Below are 9,161 nucleotides of genomic sequence, written 5' to 3'. Positions count from 1 at the left end.
TTCTCTCCTCCAACACTCAGCTCTTTTTTAAAAAAAATTCTCAAACACATTAACGACTGAATTAAAAAGTCCCACCCCTTTAAGCTCCGTGAAGTCAGGGCCATAAACCATGTCAGTGTTATTGGCTAGAATAGTGTCTGGCTAGCCCTATGCATTCGCTTTCCCTAAACTGCAATGCCAATGTGAGGTGCCCAAAATTTTGCCATGTAGGTTGAGCTATATTATGCCAAAACTACTACATGTTTGTTAAGTGACTGTTCATTTTTCATCGCTTCATTCTAAAATTCTTTGATGCATCATGTAGAATTGAGAAGAAGATTACATCCCTTCATGACAGCATTTGCTGCCTGGCATTATTGTTGATTTGTGTGTGTGTCACTACCAGACTGGAGACCGTGTCTTACTGAATTTCTATGCCCAGCCCTTAGCCCGGTTCTTGGGACACACACGAGTCTGATGCCTCCCCACCATGAACAAGCCACTCTGAAAACTCCATAGAACCTTGCTTCTCAAAGTGTGATCTGTCAACCAGCAGCAGCAGCAGCATCACTGGGGAAGAGGCTTGCAAATGCAGAAGGTAGGCCCACCCCAAGAACTACTGAGCAGAATCTGTCAAGGTAAAAAGTTCAGACTATTCTGGAGGTAGCAGGAGGTCTTGGACATCATGGAATAGATGTGCCAAATCGAGGAGGTTGGGAAAGGGAGAGGCAGGTGGGTACCAGAAATGCAGGTGAGAGGGGATGAGGGCCTCAACCAGGGAGCTGAGGATGATGAGAAGTGGCATGCAGGGAGAGCTGGAGTGACCTTGCAGAGCCAGAAACTGATTGATGGAAGAAGGGAAGGAGAAGCGGGAAGAAAGTCAAGGGTGATTGAGGCTCCGAATCTGTTGGGCTGGGGTAGAGAAGACGTGAGCACCAGGGGAAGGCAGGCTGGTCAGCTGATGATGCCCCTGTAGGGTCCCTTGCCTGCAGACCATCTCCATTCATACAAGAGCCCCTGGGCAAGTGGAAGAAAAGCAGTGGGAAAACCTTCACCTCTGACAGGGCAAGACAAGACTATCACACTTTTTCCTTATCCCATCTTTAAACTGGAGGATCATCTTGGAACTTAAGATCTATGAGGTGCTCTGGTTTTTATATCCAGAGGAGGCATGGGATCATAAAAGCAGACAGCTATCAGGTTCTTCATCTTAGAATCCATTGATGTGGCAAAATGAAAAAATAAATTAATAGTGCCACTTCAGTATCTAAATGAATTGGGGTTTGGCCAATGTCTGCAGGAAGCTTCTACAAGAACTCAGTAAATGATTTCCATTTGAAAACACAGCTCAAAGAGCGCTTAATAAGTGCAATTTGGTGATGATAATGATGATCCACAGAGCAGCAGCATCTATCCAGTCAAGCAAATGTTCCTGGGGAACAGTGATAATGAACCAGGTCCAGGACCATGGGCAATTCTAAAAGAGCGTGCGGGGCATTTTGTTGTTTTAAAGATCTGCTTCCCTAACCTGTCCACCCCGCATCCCTGCTGCTGATCGTGAATATCATCCTAAGCAATTCTTTTGGCCCTGAATGTAGTGGTTTAGGTAAAGGCGTGGAAAAGCCAGGACTGTAGAGACTTGGAGCTCCCCAGGGAAACCACAGGAACGAAATAGGTCACAGGGCTCCAGGCAGCGCTCCCCTGCCCCGCCCGGTGCAAGCCCGGGGCCGCCGGCTGGGGTGGGGCGCGCAGCGCGGCAGGCAGGCAGGGCTACCATGCAGTTCTCAGCCTCCTGGCTCCTTCGCCCCTCGCCCCGCGCCCCTGGGCCGCCCTCGCCTGCCCGCACCCTAGAGCAGCCCTGACCCGTGGGGGCGCGCGGCCTCGCGGGGATCCCGCGGGCGGGCGGGCGGCCGGGCGCGCGCGGGGCGGGGGCGGCGCGCGCGCGGGGAGCGTGTGGGCCGGGCGGGCGCGGCGGGGAAAGCTGGGCGCGCGAGCCGAGGCTGCTGCTCACCTGCAGCCGCGCCGCTCACCTGCCGCGGAGTGCGCGCCCCGCGCCCTCCCGGCCCGCTCCGGAGCCCGGCCGCCCCCCCCTTGCCACAGCGGGCAACTGCGCCGACATGCGACACGAGTAGCCCACGCGCTTCGGAAGCACCGGAGGAGCCCCCTCGGCCTGGGCGAGCCAAGGTGACCCCCTCGATGACCCCCCCGCCCCCGCGGGCCGCCTGTCCCCGCACCCTGTCTGTCCCCCTCGCGTCCGACTCCCGTCCCCGCCGCCAGGGAATCGGCAGCAGTGCATGGGCATCTGTCTGTCTGTCTGTCTCGGTACTTCCATTGCACACACCTCCCTCTCGTGGCCCTCCCGACTGCCCCGTGCGCACGGGGGGAGTCTGGAGCCCCTCTTTGTTCCGGTCGGGGGTGCGTTTGAGGATGTGCACGCGCGCGGGGGATGCGTTTGGAGGGTGGGAGTTCGATGGAAATAGGCGATTTAAATATTCCATCGAGGATGGCGGCCCCTGGCTCGAGACCTGCCGCTGCCGCGTGGTTTTCTCGGCAGCAGCCCAGATGTCAAACAGTTGTTCGTTTTCAGCATGCAAGATGTGATTTTCCAATGTGCATTCCCAGCGCTGTTGCAAACAGACCGCCGCGAGTCCGTGTGTGCCTGCCTCGCTCACGCTGGTGTTTTGAAGTCCTACCCTGTGTTTTCCCCAATGCCAAACGGCATTTTTGTTGTGGGGTTTAAACCACAGAGACTTTGGCTTTTGTTTCATTTCCCAACAGTTCCTCATTCCCGAAGCTTGTGGCATTTGGTACTGGTATCTGAGCAGGGGCTGGCTTTCTGTTTGTCTGTGTGTTTTTTGCATGATCTTGGATTGTCACCCTGCTGTATTTAAACATTAAAAAGCCTGTCTTTTCGTTGAAGAGGACAGGGGTTAAAATGAATGAAGACCTGAAGGTCAATTTAAGCGGGCTGCCTCGGGATTATTTAGATGCCGCTGCTGCGGAGAACATCTCGGCTGCTGTCTCCTCCCGGGTTCCTGCCGTAGAGCCAGAGCCTGAGCTCGTAGTCAACCCCTGGGACATTGTCTTGTGTACCTCGGGAACCCTCATCTCCTGTGAAAATGCCATTGTGGTCCTTATCATCTTCCACAACCCCAGCCTGCGAGCACCCATGTTCCTGCTAATAGGCAGCCTGGCTCTTGCAGACCTGCTGGCCGGCATTGGACTCATCACCAATTTTGTTTTTGCCTACCTGCTTCAGTCAGAAGCCACCAAGCTGGTCACGATCGGCCTCATTGTCGCCTCTTTCTCTGCCTCTGTCTGCAGCTTGCTGGCTATCACTGTTGACCGCTACCTCTCACTGTACTACGCTCTGACGTACCATTCGGAGAGGACGGTCACGTTTACCTATGTCATGCTCGTCATGCTCTGGGGGACCTCCATCTGCCTGGGGCTGCTGCCCGTCATGGGCTGGAACTGCCTCCGAGACGAGTCCACCTGCAGCGTGGTCAGACCGCTCACCAAGAACAACGCGGCCATCCTCTCGGTGTCCTTCCTCTTCATGTTTGCGCTCATGCTTCAGCTCTACATCCAGATCTGTAAGATTGTGATGAGGCACGCCCATCAGATAGCCCTGCAGCACCACTTCCTGGCCACGTCGCACTATGTGACCACCCGGAAAGGGGTCTCCACCCTGGCTATCATCCTGGGGACGTTTGCTGCTTGCTGGATGCCTTTCACCCTCTATTCCTTGATAGCGGATTACACCTACCCCTCCATCTATACCTACGCCACCCTCCTGCCCGCCACCTACAATTCCATCATCAACCCTGTCATATATGCTTTCAGAAACCAAGAGATCCAGAAAGCGCTCTGTCTCATTTGCTGCGGCTGCATCCCGTCCAGTCTCGCCCAGAGAGCGCGCTCGCCCAGTGATGTGTAGCACCCTTGCACCCAGGAGGACTCTGCATTTACCAAGCACTTCCACTGCCTGGCCAAGGTTTGAGATGCTTCCCTTGAATTCCTTGCATTGGATTCCCTCTCAAGCCACAGGAGCACTTAGCATTCGTGAAACAATGACATCGTTCAGATGAGTTAAGTGATTGAAGTGAAAATAATGTTACCAGTGTTTTCACCATTAAAAAAAATTGTTGAGCTCTCCACTCAACATTATTTTGTTTTGCTTGGGGGCAAGGGTTTCCTTTTATACTTTGTTTGGAGGGCTGACTGGGGGTAGGAAAGGAAGGGATATGATACGCCCATGATGTTATTAGAAGTAAATGAGTTTCAGAGTTTTTACCTGGACTTTAAAATAAATTTGAGTGATTGAGGAAAATTGAGAAAGACTTACTTTTTCCAGACTATTTTTTTTTTTTACATGATGGTAGATTTTTTAATGCTGCATGTATGTAACAGAATATGACCCCTTTCAATCCAATACAAATAGTTTACATAATTGTGTTTGGAAGGGACCTGATTTTGCTAACATGAACTCAGTAATGTCACCGACACTGAAACCGTGAACCCATTCTTATCCATTCTTTCTTTCCTTTCGGCAATTACTGTTCACGAGAATTCCTTCGGTATTTCTATAAATGTTGCAACTCCTTCTGCATGGTCGACTGTGTTAGCTAGACCACTTGTTTCAAATGTTGCCATGTCAATCTAGATTCCAACGGGTCATTTTTCAATATAGTTTTCCAATATGTACTTTCTAAAATGAATCCTGAAGTAGGTTTTGATCTTCATATGAAGTAGGATTGATTAGATCCACCATTGTAGTTTCTTAAGCTATTGTCTGATTGTTTTCAGAAAACAAAAGGAAAAAATATTAGCAATTGAGAGTAGATTAAATTTATTTTAATATATTCTGAAAAAAACTAATGTGACATTATCATGAAATGAAAAAAATCACCTTTCCTCTCTCTCTGAGAATATACTAATGGTTATTCTTGATTGAGATAATTAGAATAAATATTATAGGCCAAGTTTTTCTGGTTCATACTGTCTGTGGTGCATAATGCATTTGAAACAGGCAGTCCCCTATTTTAATGATTAGGTTTGTTTGTCAGTGCACAGCGTCCATCTATGACTGTGACATATACCAGCTATATCCTGTAAGGTCATAAACAGAATGACCATTGGCTGTTGATGAAAAGTTAAGTTTGAAATCTTTTAACTCCTTTTCACCAAAAACCAATTTATACACAATAAAAATCACATTGCCTGTTTTCAGAGAACAAGAATGTAGTCAGGAAATTGCAAAGAAGAATTCACTTTAAACACATTGTAAAATCGATGTGTCTCAGGTTTCTTTTCTGTTCATGCAGACAAATGTAGACGCAGGTACCTTCCCTCCATTTGCAATGGATTTATAGTTATGTCTATATAATCAGTGGAAAAAATTCTTGGCAGCACATTAATTGAGCCCATTCAGATGGCAGCAAAAGCAGTATTTCAGGGTCATTGGGGAATCATTTGTAATAAATTAACCTCATCGGTTTGTCCCAGATGTGATGCCCAGGGTGCTCTCAAGACCATTCTGGGAGCCTGCATGCTGATGCCTTCTCTCCAGAGCATCTTCTAATGTAGCACACGTGTGAAAAAATCCTCTACTTGAATCTGTGTCTCCTCCCTGAGGTTACTTATGGAAGCAGGAGAGGGACTGAAATACTTAAGAAGTGGGAAAGAATTTTCAATACATACCACTGTATGATCAATCTAATAAAACTGATGCCTTTAAAACATTTCTTTTGAACATTTGATGGAGTTAGTAGGTTGAACATGATGAGTCTGTTCGTTTTTAATTAATTAAAATTGAATAGCACCACCATAGGAGACTTGACAAAGGTAAGTTGGTTTTGAGAGGGGCTAGGAAATATCCGTAATGAGGTTTTAAAGGAATAAATGATGATTTTATAAAAATAGTGGCTCCATTTGCATATCTCCAATAGTCAGAATTATAAAGAGAATAATATGTACTTGTTGTGACCACATGTGTGCCAGGCCCCATGCTGCGTGTTTTACTATAATCACAAAACTACTACTTTTATAGGTGAGAAAACTAAGACTAAGAGAGGCGAGGATAAAAAATGTGCCCGAGGCCACAAAGCACAAGGATAGAGTCAGAATTTGAAGCCAGCTTTTCCAAAGTCTAAGTCTTGCTCCTTCCCTGTACCTTGCAAGCTTTCATCCCTCAGTGGATACCAGGGCTGAGGAAACTGATTTGTAACACGTTCCTGTCACAGAGTTTTGGCTCTACATTTAAGACATAAAACTTGGCCTGGCGCAGTGGCTCACGCCTGTAATCCCAGCACTTTGGGGGGCCAAGGCAGGTGGATCACCTGAGGTCAGGAGTTCGAAACCAGCCTGACCAATATGGCAAAACCCTGTCTCTACTAAAAATAAAATTTAGCCGGGCGTGGTGGCGGGTGCCTGTAATCCCAGCTACTCAGGAGGCTGAGGCAGGAGAACTGCTTGAAGACAGGAGGCAGAGGTAGCAGTGAACAAAGATCGCACCACTGCACTCCAGCCTGGGTGACAGAGCAAGACTCCATCTCAAAAAAAAAAGGACATAAAATTTCCTGTTTAAAGTTACACTAGTTACGTGGTTGCTTTTGGCCCATGTTTTTAAAACATATAGTTTCAGCTAAGAGATTTTTCAGTTCAACTAACAACATGCCTTTACCGTTTAAATTGTGAAAAATGTTGGATATTTATGTGGTTTTCTACAAGGTTTCTTTTTTCCTGTGGAGCTAATTATTTTTAAATGTGCACACATCTCAATGTACATATGTGTATGTATGTATTTATGCATACGTATACCCAATAATATTAACTTTGCAACAGGACCAAAGACCTCATGGAAAACTGTCTTATTTCCAACAGTCCTGAGGTAGCAGATAATCTTTTACTCCACATAATTAAAATTTCTAGCTACCAAGGAATTGATATTTTTCCAGTAGAAACAGTTATCCTTGTAACTAGGACAGTTCCATTACTTTACCAGAATCCTGAATTAGTCAAAACTAGTCATCGAAGTTATGACTATCTAGGGTTTTGTTTCCTTTTATTCCTTTAACTCTGTATTTCTTTCTATCAGTGAAGTTTGTTTTTAAAGGTACCTGGGGCAGGGAAGCAGGGTGGAGATAGAGCCCCTCCTTGCCTGGAGCCTACAGTAAGGAGCCAGGTTCAGGAGGAGTGGATTCCTTGGTTGACTTGGCCATGCAGAAATAGTCTTAGACTCCCCCAGGATTTAAAATAGGATTGAAACAAGAAGTTTAAAAGAGCAGAGGAGGAATAGAGATACTTAGTGCCAATAAAAATATCATGGAGACTTCTTCGGCTTTTTAAAAAAAATGCTTAATCCATTATTAAAATAATGATTGACTTTATTTTATAGTAATATGTGATAATATGAAGTTAGGATGACTTGCCATTTCAGATTTAAAATACATATTAATTAAGTGACTACTATGTTGTGATTTTGAATAATGTTTAAGTTTCTATATTGATTGTATGCCTGGTATAATAAAGGAAAAGACTGCCTTATTGTCCCCTTTAAAATTTGTCATAATTATTGAATGTTTCGATATATGGTTAGGACTTCTGTTTAGAATTCTAAGAATCACAAACTAATAGGTTTATACATCACGGCTTGAATTCACAGACAAATCTGTCTTCTAAAAAAATTACAGGCCGGGCGCAGTGGCTCATGCCTGTAATCCCAGCATTTTGGGAGGCCGAGGTGGGCAGATCACGAGGTCAGGAGATCAAGACCATCCTGGCTAACATGGTGAAACCCCGTCTCTACTAAAAATACAAAAAATTAGCCGGGTGTGGTGGCGGGGGCCTGTAGTCCCAGCTACTCAGGAGGGTGAGGCAGGAGAATGGCGTGAACCTGGGAGGCGGAGCTTGCAGTGAGCCGAGATTGTGCCACTGCACTCCAGCCTGGGGGACAGAGCAAGACTCCATCTCAAAAAAAAAAAAAAAAAATTACAGAAAAAAATATTGGTAATTTTGGCTAGAGCTCCTCAAACTTTAACTATTTGAAGAGTATACAAATCACCTGAGAATCTTGTTAAAATGCAAATTCTGCTTCAGTCAGTCTGGGGCATGGCTGAATTTCCAACAAGCTCCCGTGATGCTGATGCTGATGGTCTACAGACAACACTGATTCACAATGATACGTGTCACACTTTTAATATAACGTATAAATACATATATATAACATATAAATATAACATATAAAAATATATATCTGAATATGTATAACATGTACCTATAATGCATAAATAATATATATTTGAAGTGTTTATTTTTGTCAGAGGTTAATAACTAGTCTGTATTCAATGGAGATGAACTTTGAACTTTTCCTACAGCTTCTCAGGGTCTAATAAAGACCCATAAATGTATTTTTTCCATGTTAATGAACTAACTTTTTAAAATCCTAATGTTCATTATCTTAATTTAGTTCTTTCAGAAGCTTTATGTAGATGCAATGTGTTTCTCTAGGTGTGTGTATGTATACCTGACAACAAAGGTTTTCACCTCCACCTCAAGGACAGTTTTCTTTAGGACATGAGTGGCTTATGTTTGGGGGCTGCATGTGTCTGCATGTATTTATCTTGAGATGATTGAGATGAAAACCTTTGTTCTCTGAGTTCTAAAATTCAACTGAACTTATTCCAAAGCAACCTTTTCTAGACAGGTACATCAGAGAAATTTAAAAATAGCTCACCTTCATTTGACACTTATCTGTAGCCTTTTATTTTTCAGCATCAAAAATACTATTAATGTTAATAGTTACCCTGGTCACAGGTACTCTGCTACCTTTCTGCCCAAGGAAGTGAGAACATTTTTTAATCCAATGGAAGCATATTAAAGTACATAGTTAAAGTAGATTTTAATATATAACTTATATATGTCCACTGTATAAGATACTTACAGAAGACATCTAGGAATTTTTTAATCATAAAAAATTCAAATACTAACATCAAGCATAAGTGAACAAATTTCAATTGAAAATAAGTTTAGGACATAAATAAAAACATTTACTAGGGCACAGATTCCCTTGGTAGTTGACTATTTGAACAGACAGTTATCAACAGAATATTTTAAAAGGCAAAAGAGCATCTTATGGAATTCTCTCTATGGCTTGGATTTGCATTTCTCACCAAACAACA

At 44.6% G+C, this 9,161-nt stretch overlaps 1 protein-coding gene across 2 annotated transcripts; it reads left to right on the top strand.

The window, feature by feature from the left end:
* The first annotated feature begins 1,955 nt into the window (after window positions 1-1,955).
* GPR12 (G protein-coupled receptor 12) lies at window positions 1,956-7,542 on the top strand. Of its 2 annotated transcripts, none has more exons than XM_005266360.3 (2): window positions 1,956-2,163; window positions 3,304-7,542. In XM_005266360.3, the coding sequence occupies exon 2, from the start codon at window positions 3,392-3,394 to the stop codon at window positions 3,917-3,919; it is 528 nt and encodes a 175-aa protein (XP_005266417.1). In that variant the 5' UTR covers window positions 1,956-2,163; window positions 3,304-3,391; the 3' UTR covers window positions 3,920-7,542. The 2 variants fall into 2 exon arrangements, with proteins under 2 accessions (XP_005266417.1, NP_005279.1); NM_005288.4 differs by having other exon boundaries at window positions 2,900-7,542.
* Window positions 7,543-9,161: the final 1,619 nt, after the last annotated feature.

Source organism: Homo sapiens, chromosome 13 (assembly GCF_000001405.40).
Source record: "Homo sapiens chromosome 13, GRCh38.p14 Primary Assembly".
In the NCBI taxonomy this organism is placed as follows: domain Eukaryota; kingdom Metazoa; phylum Chordata; class Mammalia; order Primates; family Hominidae; genus Homo; species Homo sapiens.
The sequence above is the reverse complement of the archived record's forward strand: the minus strand, read 5'-3'. Positions and strand labels throughout refer to the sequence as shown.